General features: G+C 53.5%; 5 annotated features.

The window, feature by feature from the left end:
* Window positions 6170-6671: an enhancer, noted in NCBI's record as "H3K4me1 hESC enhancer chr21:46254495-46254996 (GRCh37/hg19 assembly coordinates)". NCBI's record gives its function as "activates a minimal SCP1, AML or CMV promoter by ChIP-STARR-seq in naive H9 embryonic stem cells {active_cell/tissue: H9 hESC(naive)}" and the evidence as "EXISTENCE:reporter gene assay evidence [ECO:0000049][PMID:30033119]".
* Window positions 16919-17419: an enhancer, noted in NCBI's record as "H3K4me1 hESC enhancer chr21:46265244-46265744 (GRCh37/hg19 assembly coordinates)". NCBI's record gives its function as "activates a minimal SCP1, AML or CMV promoter by ChIP-STARR-seq in primed H9 embryonic stem cells {active_cell/tissue: H9 hESC(primed)}" and the evidence as "EXISTENCE:reporter gene assay evidence [ECO:0000049][PMID:30033119]".
* Window positions 17288-17357: a silencer, noted in NCBI's record as "silent region_13392". NCBI's record gives its function as "represses an Ori minimal core promoter by ATAC-STARR-seq in GM12878 lymphoblastoid cells {active_cell/tissue: GM12878}" and the evidence as "EXISTENCE:reporter gene assay evidence [ECO:0000049][PMID:35858748]".
* Window positions 17420-17920: an enhancer, noted in NCBI's record as "H3K4me1 hESC enhancer chr21:46265745-46266245 (GRCh37/hg19 assembly coordinates)". NCBI's record gives its function as "activates a minimal SCP1, AML or CMV promoter by ChIP-STARR-seq in primed H9 embryonic stem cells {active_cell/tissue: H9 hESC(primed)}" and the evidence as "EXISTENCE:reporter gene assay evidence [ECO:0000049][PMID:30033119]".
* Window positions 17788-17857: an enhancer, noted in NCBI's record as "active region_18576". NCBI's record gives its function as "activates an Ori minimal core promoter by ATAC-STARR-seq in GM12878 lymphoblastoid cells {active_cell/tissue: GM12878}" and the evidence as "EXISTENCE:reporter gene assay evidence [ECO:0000049][PMID:35858748]".

Here is an 18358-nt window from a genome sequence, read left to right on the forward strand (position 1 = left end):
ACACAGCCAAGAAAAGAAGCAGTGAGCTTCCAGATAAGTCCACAGAAATTATCCAAGCTAAAAAACATGAGGAAAAAGTGGAAAACAAACAAATGAAAACATCAGACGTAAAAGAGCAAGCAGAAGCCCTGGAGTAATCTCAAATGGTCTAACATATGTGTAATTGGAGTAACAGAAGAAGAAGAGAGAATGAGGGAGAATAATTATTTTTAAAATAATGGCAAATTTTTTTTCAGGAATAATGAAAGACACCACATCACACATCCAAGTTCAGAAAACCATAGCCAGGATTAAAAATCTTTTTTTAGAAAGAAAACACCATATTCAGCTGCTCAAAACCAAAGATAAAGAAAACATCTTGAAGGCAAATAGAAAAAAAAAAAAAAAAAAGGACACATTACACCCAGAGGAACAAGGATAAGAAGTACAACACACTTGTTAGTAGAAACTATGCAAGCCAGAAGACAATGAAGTGACATCTTTCAAGACTATGAACCCAGATTTCTATACCCAGCAAAACACCTTCAAAAATGAAGAAGAGACTTCCAATGCTGGACAATACGGAGCAAGCTCTTTCCAGCCTACATTCTTACTGAAGACAACGGAAAGCTCTGGATAACACATAAAAAAGTATCTGAGGACTCGGGAAAGTTAACAGTAGGAAGCAAATTAGGGAATGAGACTGAAACACAAAGAAAAAGCTGGTGAGTGATCCCAAGTATTTTTCGTCTTTCATCACCCAGCTTAGACCGCAGGCTGACCCCTGTGTGGAACTGCACAACATGTGTGGACAGAAAAAACTACAAAAGAAATTGTTTTTTTTCTGGCCAGAGGAAAAGAGACCCTGCAAGCCAAAGCATGTGGATTGAATTCAGATTTTTTGTTTGGTTTGGTTTTTCACTTTTTTAATCTTTCCCAGCCCTCTCCCAAGAGTGTCCCGTCATAGCGCTGCACTAGGGTGGCAGAATGGACCCCAAACCTCAAGAGAAATACACATTTTCTGGCCACAGACCCTAGAAGAAAGGAGCCTTGTGATCCAAAGAGCATTAGGGAAGTTCCTGTTATTTTCCCCTCTCTTTTCTCTTGCTGCTTAGTCCATGGGCAACGTCCCTGAAACTGTGGTGGAGTATGGGTGGTTAAAGTTCCCAGAGAAATCCCTTCCTTGTAACCAGAGGACTGGTAAAGGGGGCTCTTGGGGGCTGGTGAATGTGGTAGAAATCTCAGCAAGGAGAGAATTGAAGACAGGGGTCCCCTGACTCTGTGAATGAATCAACCCTGAGCTGGGCATGGTGAGGCAATTCAAAGCAACATAGCAACAGCTTTGAGAAAGAACTGAGAGTGAAATCTTGGCCCCTGGGAGGTGGGACAGAGCTCGCATTCTGAAACTGACAGGACAGGGTGCTTGACAAAACAAAAAGAAAAAAATAATCATCCTCCAAAGGATTTTAACAGGACCCAGAGTCTCACAGCATATCAAAGTGGCCAGTATAAGATTTAGTTACTTGGTATACAAAGAACAAGGAAAATGTGATTAATTCTCAAGGGAAATGACACCAACATATGTCAACCCAAAATGATGTGGGTGTTAAGATCACCAGACAAAAACTTTTGCTGGTTGCTTTTTGTTGCTGTTTGAATTTTTTTAGAGATGGTGTTACCAGTGGAGGGTGTCCAGGTTCTTGGCGTTTTGAACAATGAATTGGATGAAGCACACAAAGCAAGGAAAGAATGGAGTGACAAAAGCAGAGACTTATTGCAAATGAAAGTACACTCCACATGGTGGGAGCCGCTGGAGAATAACGGCTCAAGACCCCTTACAGAATTCTCAGGGGTTTTGATACCCTCTAGAGACTTCCCATTGGTTACTTGGTGTCCATCCTATGTAAATGAAGTAGTGGCCTGCAAACATTCTGATTGGTTGTGGAAAGCAACCAATCAGAGGCTGAAGTGAAGTTACAAAGATCACGCCCTATGCAAGTGTATGATTGGTTGCGGAAAGCAACCAGTCAGAGGCTAAAATGAAATTACAAAGTTACGCTTCTATGCAAACAAAGACTTGGCCTGCAATCAGTCTGATTGGTTGCCAATCAGAGGCTGAAGTGAAGTTACAAAGTTACACTCCTATGCAAACGTCTGATTGGTTGCAGGAAGCAACCAAGCAGAGATACCTTCAATTTTCCATCTGCCACACCCAAAAGGGGTGGGGGTGGGGGTGGGGGTGGGGGGATTTGCAAAGGCAGCCTCCAGTTCTTTTGTTACTTAGGTGTGGAAAGTTGGGGTTTTCCTTCTGATTTAGTTCTAGGAAGTCAGCATGAATTGGCCTTAGGTTCCCTGCTTCCAGACCCTATTCTCCTGTCTCACCGGGGTCTTGCTCCGTGGCCCTGGCTGGAGTGCAGTGGCAAAATCATAGCTTGCTGCAGCCTCGAACTCCTGGGCTCAAAGCGATTCTCCCGCCTCAGGCTTCCAAGTCACTGGGACTACAGGCGTGTGCCACCGCACCCAGCTCTGCTGATTGCTTATTTAAGTAAAAGTTAAACTCTATTGAAATCATTAGAAAGACCAAGGTTCTCAGCAGAGAAGTAGAAAATATATTTTTTAAAGAAACTCAGAATTTAAAAATAATAATATCAGGAACTTTTTAATTCCCTGACTAGCCTCAAAAGCAGAATGGAGTTGTCAGAGGAAAGATTCAGCGAACCTGAAGGGAAGTCAGTAGAAATGATCCAATGTGAAGAACAGAAAATATTAAAACTAAACTAAACTGAGCCCCAGACACCTGTGGGGGAAAAACAAAAGGTCTAATTTTCATGTCATTTTGGAGTCCCAGAAAGATTGGTAAAGAAAAACTGTTTGAAGAAATAAAGACTCAAAAAAAATCACAAATTTAGTGAAAAGAGATCAATGTATAGATTCAAGAAGTTCAGCAAACCCCAAAGAAGATAAACTCAAAACCACAATCAGGAACGTGATAATCAAAGATAAAGAAAAAAGTCTTGCAGTCAGCCAGAGGAGAACAGTACCTCACCTTCAGGGGAAGCAGTTCGAGCCACTGCACACTCCTCATCAGAAACCGTGCAGGCCAGGAGGCAGAAATGACCCTGTGAAAGCGCCGAAGGCAATTCAGTTCAGAATTTAATATCTAGTGAAAATGCTCTTCAGGAAAGGCAGTGAAAAGACATTCTCAGACGAAAGAAAATAAAGAGAATTTATAGCCAGCAGGCTATGTTTTAAGAAATGATAAGGAAGTTCTTGAGGCAGAAGGGTATACGATAACCAGACAAGGAAGTGAAGAACCCCAGAATGGTTAAAATTAACTAAATATAGAAAACATTTGTTCCAGATTTTTAATCATCTGAAAGATAATTAACTGTTTAAAACAGGAACCAACAAACTTTTTCTGCAAAAGAACAGACAGTAAATATTTTATGCTTTCCTAGCCAAAGGCTGGGAGAGTCCTCAACTCTTTAAACAATTCTCATCACAGAAATGGCCCAGCACGGGGACTCACGCCTGCAATCCCAGCACTTTGGGAGGCCGAGATAGGAGGATCACTTGAGACCAGGAGTTCAAGACCAACCTGGGCAACATAGTGAGACCCCCATCTCTACAAAGAAATAATATTATTTTATTTTATTTTTTGAGATGGAGGATTGCTGTGTCGCCCAGGCTGGAGTGCAGTGGTGCAATCTCAGCTCGCTGTAACCTCTGCCTCCTGGGTTCAAGCAATCCTCCTGCCTCAGCCTCCTGAGTAGCTGGGCAGCACAGGTGTGCGGCACCATGCCTGGCTAATTTTTGTATTTTTAGTAGAGACGGGGTTTCACCATATTGGCCAGGCTGGTCTTGAACTCCTGACCTCATGATCCGCCCGCCTCAGCCTCCCAAAGTGCTGGGATTACAGGCATAAGCCACCGTGCCCGGCCTAGAAATAATATAATTTTAAAAAAGAAAGGCAAAGTCCTGTGGGAGAAAGAATACCTAGATGCCGAGGCAAGAGACTAAAGGCACAAACTGTTTCAGTATAATAAAGAAAATAGAATAAGAATAGTCATAATACAAATTAGATATACAGATGATCATGGACAATTATCAATCATTATTATAAACATTATTAATCATTAGCTTTTAACATTACTCTTTGTTACATTACTAATATAACCTAGGAATAACCGGCGGACATAGGGTCAGGTGCTGAAGGGACATTGTGAGAAGTGACCTAGAAGGCAAGAGGTGAGCCCTCTGTCGCGCCCGCATAGGGGCCGCTTGAGGGCTCCTTGGTGAAGCGGTAACGCCGGTGTCTGGGAAGGCACCTGTTACTTAGCAGACCTCGAAAAGGAGTCTCCTTTCCTTGGAGGAGTCAGGGAACACTCTGCTCCACCAGCTTCTTGTGGAAGGCTGGATATTATCCCGGCCTGCCCGCAGTCATCCGGAGGCCTAAACCCCTCCCTGTGGTGCTTCAGTGGTCATGCTCCTTGTCCACTTTCATGCTCCTCCCGTACTCCTGGTTCCTCTTTGAAGATAGCGGTAGAAAAAATAGTGGAAGTCTTAAAGTGTTTAATCTTTCTTGTAAATGCAGAGAAGAAAACGCTGATGTATGCTGCCTTCTGTCTCTGCTTTGGCTACCTAAGAGGGAAGGGCCCCCTGTCCTATGATCACGTGACTTGCTTCACCTTGTCAATCCCTTAGAAGATTCACCCTCCTTACCCTGCCCCCTTGTCTTGTATGCGATAAATATCAGCACGCCCAGCGGTTCGGGGCCACTATCGGTCTCCTCGTCTTGGTGGTAGTGGTCCCCTGGGCCCAGCTGCTTTCTCTTTATCTCTTTGTCTTGTGTCTTTATTTATTACAATCTCTCGTCTCGGCACATGGGGAGAACACCTGCTAAGCCCTGTAGGGCTGGACCCTACAGAGTCCTTTGGACTGTTTTTTTTGGGGGGAGGGGGACGGAGTCTCTCTCTGTTACTCTGTCACCCAGGCTGGAGTGCAGTGGCGCGATCTCGGCTCACTGCAAGCTCCGCCTCCCGGGTTCCCGCCATTCTCCTGCCTCAGCCTCCCGAGTAGCTGGGACTACAGGCACCCCTACCATGCCCGGCTAATTTTTTGTAATTTTTAGTAGAGACAGGGTTTTACCGTGTTAGCCAGGATGGTCTCGATCTCCTGACCTCGTGATCCGCCCGCCTCGGCCTCCCAAAGTGCTGGGATTACAGGCGTGAGCCACCGCGCCCGGCCCCTTTTGACATTTTACATTTAAAGTGTTTAAAATGTAAAAACCAAATAAATAAATAAATAAAATAAAATAAAATGTAAAAACCATTCTTAGCTCGTAGGTAGACTGCACTTCATCCATGGGCCATCGTTTGCCAACCCTTGGTCTAAAACAGACAGTTGCCATATAGTTGGTTTACAGCATTTGTAAACGTCAATCATAACTCAGCATTGTTATGGTGATGACGTCGTCATTGGTTATGACATCATCTATAGATTCAACATAACCCCAACCAAAATCTCAGCAGGACTTTTTGTAGAAATCAACACTCTGATTCTAAAAGTTCTAGGGAAAGGCAAAGGAACTAGAAAAGTTCAGGGAAATTTAAGGAACTAGAATAGCCAAACAGTTTTGCAAAGAACAGAATCAGAGAACTCACCATACCTGACTTGAAGTCTTAATATAAAGTCACAGTCATCAAATGTGAAGTGACAGGCACACAGATCACTATCCCTGAACACACTGACAGATCAGAGGTGGACACACACACAAATGGCCCGTTGATTTTTCACACAGGTGCAGCGACAATGCACTGGACAGAAGACATCTTTCTGTGCACAGAGAGACCTCCACGCCGACCTCAGTGGGGAGAATATGCCTTTCCGTGCACGGAGAGACCTCCACGCCAACACTGGTGAAGGAAATATGCCTTTCCGTGCACGGAGAGACCTCCACACTGACACTGGTGGAGAGAAGACGCCTTTCTGTACATAGACAGACCTCCACACTGACATCAGGCCCGGTCCCTGATGACGAAAGGCCCATTTTCCTCACGATGCGCCCGCCACCTCCCACTGCTTCCTGACCCCAAACAAGGTCACATCCCAACACGGAATGCTGCAGGGTTGCAAGCCCTCACCAACGTGTTCAGGCCAGGGTTGGAGAAATATATAGCGTACCAAGCCTGGCAGGTGAAATAAGGCTGGATTGGGCCGGGGGCACTGACCTAGGACATAGGGATTACTGTGTTGCATGAGGTACTTGGAAATGAGTTCCTCATCTGGCTGATAGACTCTCGGGCTCCACTGTGGCCAATTAGCTTGACACGATGGCCTTCCTGGCGTCCTCCGTGTGTGGCCCCTGCACCAGCGGCATCTACGTCACTCAGGGACTGGTCCCAAAGGTGGATTCTTGGGCCCCTTCCCAGGCTTGCCAAATCAGAGCCTTGGGGACCTGTGTCCTGGCGAGCCCTCCAGAGGGTTCCCATGCTGTGAGTGTGAGATGCGAGTTATGTGTGAATTCTTTAGGAATCCTGCTGACACGCAGCCTCTGACCCAGCAGGTCCTCGGTGGGGATGGACACTAGGTACTCCAGGTGCTCCAGGTGCTGCCAGTGCTGCTGCTGGAGGGGGTGCCTGCGAGGAGCCTCTGGAGCAGGGTTCTCAGCTTTGGCTAGACATTGGATTCACCTGGAGAGTAAAAAGAAACACTCGTGCCAGGCCCGCGAGGTCCATGCGTTGGTGCAGGGTCTGGCAGTGCAGGTATAAACACTCCTCGGTGATTCCATCGTGTAGCCAAGGCGGAGTCGCTGCCACAGAGGGTGAAGCGGAACGCTCACGGAGATAGGCGCTGGGCGGTTTGTGTGCAGCCTGCCTGCTCTCTCCCGGCCACATCCGGACACTCCCTGAACCAGGTCATTAAGGCGTGGGAAGGCTCACAGTTCCCTGGTGAGATTTCTGAGGCCCAAGACGTTGCAAGGGAGACGGGCTCCCAGATCTCAGGGGCGACGACAAGAACCCGGCGTGCTGGATGCCAGGTGTCAGCACTGAACGTGAGAGACAGTGGGAGTGGGCATCGCTGTAAGCCACGGAGGGAGAGGAACTCAGAGCTGCCTGAGCCACAGCGATGGTCGTGGTGGTGAATCCATCACAAGGAGACAGAGGCAAAGCTACCAAGCTATTGCCTGACATCTACAGGCAGGAAAACTCTAGGTCTGTTGGTCAAAACCCAACTGGAATCACCACAGTGGGGCCTCCTGAGCATCTTCCCGAGGTGCCTGGGACTTTGAAGGGGGAGCCTCCCATGGGTGTGGGCCACAGATCAGCCCCTGCTCCTTCCAAGGCCCCCTGGCCATTTTCAAGGGTCACGGAGTTCCAGGGAAGGACAGCACCCTCCAGGGTTATTAGGTGCTGGTTCTGCAGGGCCTGGCCAGCCAGCAAGGTCCCTGGCTGGAGTAGGGTCTCCCCGCAGTCGACCATACAGTGGGCCCAGCAGGAACACACACATTTAGCAACTGGCGGAGTCTCCTCTCTTCACTGTCGTTGCAGAAAGGGCCGAGTGAGACCACGTGCACCTGCAGCCCCCACCCCTCCCCAACCTTACCCCACCCCTGCAGCCCCCACCCCACCCCACCCCTGCAGCCCCCACCCCACCCCACCCCTGCAGCCCCCACCCCACCCCGTCCCCACCCCGTCCCCACCCCACCCCACCCCACCCGTGCAGCCCCCACCACACCCCTGACCCCACCATCCCTGCAGCCCCCACCCCACCCCATCCCCACCCTACCCCTGCAGCCCCCACCCCACCCCTGCAGCCCCCACCCCACCCCGTCCCCACCCCACCCCACCCCACCCCTGCAGCCCCCACCACACCCCTGACCCCACCATCCCTGCAGCCCCCACCCCACCCCATCCCCACCCTACCCCACCCCTGCAGCCCCCACCCCACCCCACCCCTGCAGCCCCCACCCCACCCCTGACCCCACCCCACCCCTGCAGCCCCCACCCCACCCCATCCCCACCCCACCCCACCCCTGCAGCCCCCACCCCACCCCTGTCCCCACCCCTGTCCCAGAGAGAGGGAACTAGAGACACTACCAGAGCCTGGGAACTGTGGAGGTCAAGGTGCCAGTCAAGGCTTGCATGACACGCAGTGCCCGTGTTGTGAGCAGAATCGTGTCTCCCTAAATTCCAGTGTTGAGATCCAAACCCCTGGGACCTCAGTGGGACTGTGTTTGGAGACAGGCTCCCTACAGAGATGATTATGTTAAAGTAGGTCACTAGGCTGGTCCCTGGCCCCATCTGACTGAAGTCCTTGTAAGAGCAGATGAGGACACAGACCACGTGAGGACCGGGGGAGGAGATGCCGTCTGCACGCCCAGGAGAGAGGCCTCAGGAGGAACCGGCCCTGCCGCTCCAGGACCTCAGACATGCAGTTTTCAGGGCTGAGAGGGAGCCAGTGTCTGTGTGAGCCACCTGGCTGTGGCGTCTGTCCTGGCAGCTGCAGCACACACACCCCACGGTCCACGAACCCCCTTCACAGCTGTCGCCAGAGCCACGTGGGGCTTGGAGAAGAACTGGATTGTCACGCTCTCAGTCAGGTGGTGATGCCAGTCACGCGAGGCTCCGAGGCAGCAGGTTTCAGGGGCACCTCCGTGCAGTCCCCGGCACCCAGGGTGCAGCCCCCAGCACCTCCGTGTAGCCCCCGACACCCAGGGTGCAGCCCCCGGCACCTCCGTGTAGCCCCCGGCACCCAGGCAGTCCCCGGCACCTCCGTGTAGCTCCCGGCACCCAGGGTGCAGCTCCTGGCCCGGCCTCTGCTTTGCCGGTTGCTTCCAGTCCTAGCAGCAAAGATCGCAGAGCCTCTGTCCTCTTGGGGTGCGGGGCAGAGCACGGGCACCATCTCCTCAGGGCTGGGCCCCCGTTCTTGCCCTACGACTCTGCAGAGACAATCGTGTGACTCGCAGCTCATGAATTAGCCTGGTAGACAGGAGGCCGGAGAAGCCCGGATGCCTGGCCTGGGTGCCCGTGTGTCCCAGGGGACAGACCCTGCCCAGCCCAGGGGCCTGCCATGCTCTCTGGACGTGTTGGGATGTCTGAGGGTGGGGCAAGAGAGAGAGAAGGAGAGGGAGAAAGGGAGAGAGGAGCGGAGAAGGAAAGAAAGGTAAAGAAGGAGAGGGTGGGGTGGAGAGAGAGAGGGGGGACAGGGCTGCTGTAGGTCCCTGTGGCCACGGCACAGGGTGGCTGTGGGCTGGGGGGCCTAAGGTTGGGGCCGGCCTATTCCTTGTGTGGGTGTGTGGCTCTGACCCAGCAGCAGGGCCATGCCTTTGCCCGTTGGAGCCCGGCTTGGAGCAGGAGCAGGTGGGGTGTAGGGCCAGGCTGCGGCACCAGTGGCCCTGGGGCCTGGGAACCTGCCTGCGGTGCAGGCGTCTGCCCTTCCTAGAGGAGGCGCTGGGTGAGACCCTCCAGGGTGTTTGGGGCCAAGCTGTGCGCACCTCTGATGCCAGCTGTTCTCGGTTTGGAAAGCGCTCACTGTGCATGTGGCGCTGGGGGCTGAGCTGCACGTTCCAGGCCCCCCCCCCAGGCCCCCCGCACACATCGTGGCCCACAGCCATGAGCCTCGCAGCACCACCATAAAGGGGAATCATAAATAGGGACCAGGTCCCAGAAGGTGCACACAGCGCGCAGGGCACCAGCGCCCGGGTACGCCCCGCCCACCGCTCCCAGTCTCACCCCTCCCAGACTCACCCCTCCCAGACTCACCCCTCCCAGACTCACCCCTCCCAGACTCACCCCTGGGGCTGCTGGCCCCGCCCACCCCTCCTAGGCTCAACCCTGGGGCTGCTGGTCCCGCAGAGCTGGGCAGCTGCTGCCTCAAAGCCTGGCCAGGCAGCCGGAGCGGGCAGGGGATCCCCGGAGCAGAACTTCAGGTTGAACATGGGCTTCCACCTCACGTGGAAGGAAGACAGCTGAGGCGTGGGTGTGAACAGGCTCTTGGGCAGTGGCTGTCAGGAGCCCAAGGCCAGGGGCATGCACAGAGCAGGGCTGGAGGGTCGCTGAGCAGGGGCCTGGGGAGGCTGTGTGGCTGGGCCTCTCAGAGCCATCAGAATGTGACAAACTTCCAGCCCCACCAAAGGCCACCAGGGGCACCCACTGCAGAGGAGGCCCCTGCTCAAGTGGAAGGTGGCCTGTCCCCTAGGCCTGTCCCCAGGCCCCCCATCCGCCCTTGTCAATGGGTCCATGTACAAGGTGGGCACGGTGACTCGCGGGGGCTCTGCACCTTCACCCCCTTCCCAAGCCTGCTCCGTCTGCTCTCCCAAGGCCTGGCATGGCACTGTCGTCGGCCCTCCTGCCCGGTCACTGTGAGCTGGCCACTCCTCTCGACTGGTGGGGTAGTGGTGGCTGCCAGCGACCACCCCCTCCCCGTGCCCCTTCAGGCCCAGCGGTGGCGAAGGCTCCCACTGTGCCATCAGGGGCTGCCATCCGTCATGCTCAACCCCGCCCACACCTCTGTAAGGAACTCCGTGATTAGATTTGCCTGTGCTTTTTGTGGTCAACAGTTTCACCTGGACTGAGCCAGGCAGTTCCTTTGCTGGCTTTGCCTGGGCTCACTGACATGGCCGTGGTCAGCTGCTGGCCCAATGAGGGCTGGACAGTCTGAGATGACCTCGGCCACATGTCTGGTGTGTGGTGCTGGCTGCGGCTGGGCTCCCATCTCCAGCAGGAGAGCCTGGGCTTCTCCACCCAGCAGCATTCCCAGAGGGGAGAGGAGAGACACAAGGCCTCTTGGAGCCCAGGAAAGTCCCTTCCATCACATTCTGTGTGAGCCACACACAGCCAGCCAACCAGCGTGGGAGGGGACCAAGAGACGAGATTCCCTGACGGCCATCACGCAGCCACGGACCACAGTAATAGCATAGAGAAAAGAGACTCCGTCAGTAGATCTGACTCTGCTCCTATGAAAAGTGAATAAAATGGAAAAGTTCACAAGTCTGAAAAAGAAAGAATGGAAAAAGCAGTAGGAACTTTAAACGGTGAGGCTGGGTGCAGTGGGGTCGCTACACCTGGAATCCCAGTGAGGCAGGAGGATCACCTGAGCCCAGGAGTTCAAGACCAGCCTGGGCAACATAGTGAGACCCTATCTCTACAAAAAAATTAACCAGGCGTGGTGGTGTGCACCTATAGACCCTGCTACTCAGGAGGCTGAAGCAGGAGGATTGCTTGAGCCTGGGAGTTTAAGACCACAGTGAGCTACCATCATGCCACTGCACTCAGCCTGGGTGATAGAGTAAGACCCTGCCTCTGAAAAAAAAAAAAAAAAAAAAGGATATTGGCCAGGCGCGGTGGCTCACACCTGTAATCCCAGCACTTTGGGAGGCCAAGGCAGGCGGATCACGAAGTCAGGAGTTCGAGACCATCGTGGCTAACATGGTGAAACCCTGTCTGTACTAAAAACATAAAAAAATTAGCCGGGCGTGGTGGCGGGCTCCCGTAGTCCCAGTTACTCGGGAGGCTGAGGCAGGAGAATGGCGTGAACCCAGGAGGCAGAGCTTGTAGTGAGTCGAGATTGCGCCACTGTACTCCAGCCTGGGCGACAGAGCGAGACTCGTCTCAAAAAAAAAAAAAACAAAAAAAAAACTTAGACAACCTGAATAGACCAATAACCATGGAAGAAACTGAGGCAGTATTAAAATACTCAACTCCCCTAAAAAAGACAGTGCCTCCAGATGCTTTAAAGATCTTCCACAACATAGAAAACCATGGAAACTTTCCACTACAACTCCAGCATGACCCTGATGTCCAAACCTACAAGGACAGCACAAAAAACAGAAACATACGCCAGCCTCATGAGTACAGGGCGCAAAACCCTTAAATAAAACGTGCGAATCAAATTCACTGATGTGCACCTGTGGTCTCAGCTACTCGGAAGGCAGAGGCAGGAGGATCACTTGAGGCCAGAAGCTCAAGACCCACCTGGTGAACCCATAGCAAAACCCACCTCTACAAATTTTAAAAGAAAAATTACCCGTGTATTAAAATAGTTGTTCATTCTGCCGCTTTCACTGCCCCAGCTCAGCAGACTGGCCGAAGGACGGCCGACCACCCCCTCCACCTATCGGCTCTGTCTGGGCCCTCAATAGGTTGGATGGTCCCACCTGTGCTCGGGAGAGGGTTGGCTTTCCTGGGTCCACCAAATCCAATGCTGACCTGTCAGCACCCTCACAGACACACCCAGAAACACATGTAACCAGCTATCAGGCATCCTGTGGCCCAGTCAATTGACACATAAAATTAAGCATCACTGGGGGCTCTGCTGCACATGCCTCACGTGGTGACTTCCGGGGGTCTCCAGAAAGCAGAGCCTGGGACAAGGCCTTGGAAGTAGTTTCTTTGGGGGGTGGTCTATTGAGGTAGGAGTGTGGGGGTGGGGAGTGTGAGTCGGGCCGGGAGGAAGCATCAGGAAGCGTGAGCACAGAGCTGTGGGCTGCAGGTGGGGCCGGGGCTCATTGCTGCTGGGACCCTCAAGGAACCAGGCCCAGAGGCTGGGGCAGCCCCTCCTGTGAGGACTGAGCCCCAAGGCACACAGCCCTGGATGGTCAGGCCCGGCTGTGGGGCCCTGCCCTGGGCACAGCCATGGCCACCTCTGCTGCTGATCCAGCCACAGTTAACGAGATTCTCTTCTCCCGGGTGGATGCCTCCCTGAATCCCGTTACCTATAGAGAAACCGGAAGCGGCAGCTCACAGCATCTCCCCAGCTGGCCACGTGCAGGGCTTCTGAGAGCTGCATGGTTCTGTGGGGTGGCTCAGGTGTCTCTGGGACAGTGTCCCCTTGCTGATAATGTCCCCACTCATTCCCAGCATTGAGATTATGGAGCAAGAGACAATGGCAGGGAGAAAGCATCCCAGGGAGCAGACCTGGGTCCACGTCTTGAGCCTCCAGCCTCCACCTGGCGACCCTCACAAGGGCGGCGTCAGCAGTGTCAGTGATGTTCTTGTTCTTGGTGCTGTCGCCTGAATTGGCCAAGCTCCGATTCCACGTGTGTAATGGTGGTGGCATTCCTCCCATACTGCTGGTCTGCAGGAGCACCTGGGGATTAAACAAGGTTGTGAGTGAGGCCCCGACATCAGCAGGCGGGCAGTAAGGGATTGCTGCCACTTCGGTTGTGCGTGGTGTTCCATCCTTAAAAGTAAAGGGCTGGGGTGAGGGGCAAGAGGGGAGATTGTGGAATCTCCACCAAATTTTCTCCTGTTCTCAGATGAACGTTTAGTTTGCAGAGGCTGTACATCATTAAACACAGCCACGAGTCGCTTAGGCACAGGGATTGAGGAGTGCGGCGTTGGGTGGTTTGGTCCCTGTGCACACATCACGGAGTGCACGCACACACACCTAGGTGGGAAAGACTGTGTGCTCAGGGTGCCTGATGGAGGGGATCACTCTGGGCTGCAAACTTTACAGCATGTTACTGTGTGGGAACTGCAGGCAACTGGAACGCAGTGGCCAGAATTTATGTATCCGGACACAGAGAAGGTACCATAAACCTACAGAATTGGAACCTTATGGAACCACCGTTGTGCATGCAGTCAGTCCACCAAAATCTTATGTGGTGTGTGACTGTTTACCTTTCTAGATCATTACAGACTATTTTCTGATTCATTTTTTCCACGTGATTAAAGCCCAAATTGAGGATTTCAGTGGGATTTAATGCGCTTTCCAGATCCCTTGGGAAACACAGAACATTTACCACCCGCAGCTTCCCAGGGTGCAGTACAGCTCCATCTCCCCCACACATCACGTGCAACAGACCCCAGACCTGGTTTCCTGTGTGACTAAACGTGCCCAGCCCAGCAACAGCCCCTCACCCCCGTCACGCCTTCGGTGAATTGCCAACATCGACTCCCAGAGCAACCTGCAGGCGCCGGTGTCATGGACACAGGTGGCCTGAGAAATGTGGGTGCCTTTTCCCCTCCTGAGGCTCTCCTTTAGGGTTAGGGCCCACCAGATGCTTTTTTTTTTTTTTTTTGAGAAATGGGCTCTCACTATGTTGCCCAGGCTGGTCTTGAACTCCTGGGTTCAAGTGATCCTCCCACCTTGGCCTCCCAAGGCACTAGGATTACAGGCAGGAACCGTTGTGCCAGCCTGTCTTGGAAGGCAAACACTTTACTATCTCCATACAAACCCAGAACGGGGCTGGGCAGGCAGGGCCCCACCTGCTCCTACGTTTTGGCTCTCCTTGCCCTCCATGGGCAATTTGTACCCGTGAAGGGGCTTTGCTCTTGGGGTCTGCTCTGGGGTTTCCCGGACATTTTATTGATGGCTTCATCCTAGGGCACGCGCCCTGGAAGCAGGCATGGTCCTGGGAACGTCCCATAGGTCAGCGGGCTCTTCATCATCAATCTGAACAGGTCCCTTCCCAATTCCCAATGAGGGAGTGAAGGAAAGACAGGAGCCCTCACCTCCCAGATGGAGACCAGCCCCCACAGAGACCCACTAGCCTTGTGGGGGGACCCCTCGCCACGGAGGGCCCAGCTTGGCAAGCAGTCGGCTTCAGCACTGCAGCCTGGAGGATGGCGTCTGGAAGTCGGCTCCATGTTCTCAGCCTTTGGATTTGGGACAGGTGCCACACAAGCCTTGCACAAGGGGTACAGAAGTGTTTGAGTCCCCAGATTCTCACTCTAGGGCTTTTTAGACTCTAATAACGCCCTAATTTGGTGTTTCCTGACAGCGAGGTATGTCTGCCTGACTCCCCGAGCCCGTTTCTGTGTCTTCTGCCCTGCAAGTGACCGTTTTCCTCAGCTCCATGGCTGTGGCCCTGGGTAGCCACCTCCACGGCGAGCCTGGGCTCCCTGGAGCTTTCTGGACCTGGCAGTGAGCTCAGGGTTGCAAGGCCCTCAGGCAGCCAAGATCTGCACCTAGGCGGCTGTGAGGCCGACACACGTCACCGCCTTCAAGCCTCTGCCTCATCCCAAGCCTCTCTGCAATTATTTACTGCGTAGTTTTTCTTTGAATGATGTCGGGTTTTTTTAAAGTAGAAAACGTCACTGCTTTAAATAACATTAATAGAGTGTGCTATGGACTAAACTGTGTCCCCCCCAAAACCCATGGGTTGAAGCCCCAACCCCCCAAGTGACTTAGCTGGAGATGGGGCCTTGCCGAGGGGACTGTGTCCTCAGGAGAAGAAAGAGTGAGTCTCTCTCTCTGTCTCTCTCTCCATCTCTAACTGTGTCCTCGGGAAAAGAAAGAATGAGGCTTTCTCTCTCACCTGTGTTCTCAGGAGAAGAAAGAGTGAGTCTCTCTCTCTGTCTCTCTCTCCATCTCTGTGTCCTCAGGAGAAGAGTGAGGCTTGCTTGCTCGCTTGCTCTCTCTCTTTTTCTCTCTCTCTCCCCATCACCCTCCGAAAGTGCACCCCTGGGCACACAGTGAGAAGGGCTGCGAGCCAGGGACAGAACTTCCAGAACCCTGAGCTTGGCTTCCAGCCTCCTGGGCAGCTAGAATTCAGTGTCTGTGGCTGAAGCGCCCCAGCTTGGGGTATTTTGCTAAAGCAGGCCCAGCTGATAAGACAAGGAAAACCCTTGGCCGGGCACGGTGGCTCACGCCTGTAATCCCAGCACTTTGGGAGGCCGAGGCGGGCAGATCACGAGGTCAGGAGATCAAGACCATCCTGGCTAACACGATGAAACCCCGTCTCTACTAAAAAAAAAATACAACAAAATTAGCCAGGCGTGGTGGCGGGCGCCTGTAGTCCCAGCTACTCGGAGGCTGAGGCAGGAGAATGGCGTGAACCCGGGAGGCGGAGCTTGCAGTGAGCCGAGATCGTGCCATTGCACTCCAGCCTGGGGGACAAAGCGAGACTCCGTCTCAAAAAAAAAAAGACAAGGAAAAAAGGAAAACCCCTCACCACCCACAGGGCACAGGCGGCCTCCCACCACCGCCACCGAATCAGGCCCAGAGTCTGACCTAGGACCCCCTCCCCTGCAGCCCCTGACCTCCTCTCCGCTTCCCATTCCTCCTCGGCCGAAATCTCAGCCCCTGAACCAAGCCCCGCCTGACTCCTGCCTGGGTCAAACCCTACTCCGGCCTGGACTCCAAACGCCGGGAGTCCGTCTGAGCACTTCCCGTCTGGAAACATCAGCAGGGTCACACTCATTCCTGGGGCAGGGGACGTGCAGCCCCCGACTCTGGGCGGCTCAGGTCTCTGTGCCCACCCCATGCCCAGCCTGATACACAACGGTTTCTCCTTTGCAGATTTGTTACAGGACCCTAACACGTACCCAGAGGCAGCCGTCAGGTCAGGGTTTCCGCACTAGAGTCCCTTCCGTGGTCGCTAGAAATATGTTACAGGAATGAGGTTTGGCTCCAGACCCCAAGGGAGGGCTCCTGGATCTCGTGCAAGAAAGAATTCAGGGCAAGTCCACAGTGCAAAGCAATAGCAAGTTTATTGCAAAAGTAAAGTGGTCAAAGAATAGCTCCTCCGTAGACAGAGCAGGGCATTCCCGGAAGTAAGAGGGGGAACGCGTGCACCGTAGGTGCGGTGCTGGTGTACACGGGGAGGCGTGCTCGGATGCAAGGGTTTGTGATAAAGGATTAATTTTCTTTCTTTCTTTTTTTTTTTTTTGAGACAGAGTCTCACTCTGTTGCCCAGGCTGGAATGCAGTGGCATGATCTCAGCTCACTGCAACCTCTCCGCCTCCCCGGTTCAAGCGCTTCTCGTGTCTCAGCCTCCCGAGTAGCTGGGAATACAGGTGCCCGCCACCACGCCCGGCTGATTTTTGTATTTTTAGTAGAGACGGGGTTTCGCCATGTTGGCCAGGCTGGTCTCGAACTCTTGACCTCAGGTGATCCACCCACCTCGGCCTCTCAAAGCGCTGGGATTACAGACGTGAGCCACCGCACCCAGCCTATTTTCTTAATTACTATATTTTGCCAGGATCGATATTATCTTTAAAGCAAAATTAGGAATGCCTTTGTTCTCCAGATATGGGCTATCTGGACACTCCCAAGTCTGAGTCTGTGTAGTAAACATTACTAACCTGTTCCCTTAACCGTAAACATCCAGAGGCCAGGAATGCCAGACTTTCTGAGAATGCAGCCCACCAAGTCCCAGACCCTACTCAAGATGGAGTCACTCTGGTTCGAACGCTTCTGACAGATGTGTCCAATGCATGGATGAAATTCTGCCAAGATGTTCTGCATCTTGTGCAACCCCTCCAACCCCTTTCCTCCCGAGTGTGCATTTCATCCCCATTCTGTCTGGCTTCTGTGGACGCAGGAGGGCTGTTCCCGCCTGCTCAGGAGGGAGGCGGGGAGGAGTGGACGGGGGAGAGGGGCCCCCCACGCCTCTCTGGGCTCAGGGTCCCATCTGGTCCTCACAGGGCTGGGGCTTCCCATCTGAGGTCCCCGGCAGTGCATCCAACAAGCCAAAGTGGAAACAACCGCCAGGCGCCACCCAGGCCCTGGGTGAGGGCGGGACCACGGACCCCAGGACTCCTCCCCGCAGAGACTCCGCAGGGTCCTCCTGCTCTTTCCACACCCAGCACCCGCAAACGGAGCGGGGGCGGGGCCGGGCTTCCAAAAGTCCCTGTGGCCAGGAAGGAAGGGCGTGTCCTGGGCCGGAGCGCCGGGGCTGGGCCCCTGGGATTCTCTGCGTCCAGCAGCACAGCAGGGTCCTCCACAGCCGTGCCCCGTGCTCTGGCCCTGGCAGCCTGGAGGCGGCGGCGGTGATCACCGGTCTGTTCTGGAGAGAGGGCAGCTACTCCATGGCGCCCTCTTGGAGAAAATTTCATGAACCAGACACCTCCGGCCAGGCCAGCCCTTCCTCATGCAGGTCCCTGAAGCCTCATCAGCAAAGCCCACTCTCAGAAAAATTCTTTTCATTGTTTACTAAGTGCCACTACATGGAAGCTGAGAGAAATAGGATTTGTGGAAGAGAGTACTGCAGAATACTGCTATTGGCTGTATTTTACGATTATCTCTAGTTAGAAATTGTTTCTTGGTATTCAAGGTTTAAAAGAACAAAAAATCTGCAGCCTGATGGTGGGTTAAGTAACATTCTGTAGCTTTGGAGAGTGGAAAACCATCAGACCAAGTAAGTACTGGCTGAGCTGGCAGCTCTGACGTTCCTCTGTGACACGGGCTTTTATTCTGCGCACGTGTCGGGATCTGCCTGTACTGAGAGGTTCCGCGCGGCTTCGTTAAAACGGCTTTGAGGAGGAAGTGGAGATCCTGTTAGACAGGAGTCATCTCCATGCACAGACGGCCCCAGAGGTGCCCCCACCCGCGTGGGAAGCGACTGCCTAGGTCCCAGGGGGTGACCAGCTCTTGTCAGTGGAATGAGTTGAGGGGAGAGTCACTTCCAACTGGGGGCTTCTCCCCATCTGCT

The sequence above is a fragment of the Homo sapiens genome, chromosome 21 (genome assembly GCF_000001405.40).
Source record: "Homo sapiens chromosome 21, GRCh38.p14 Primary Assembly".
In the NCBI taxonomy this organism is placed as follows: domain Eukaryota; kingdom Metazoa; phylum Chordata; class Mammalia; order Primates; family Hominidae; genus Homo; species Homo sapiens.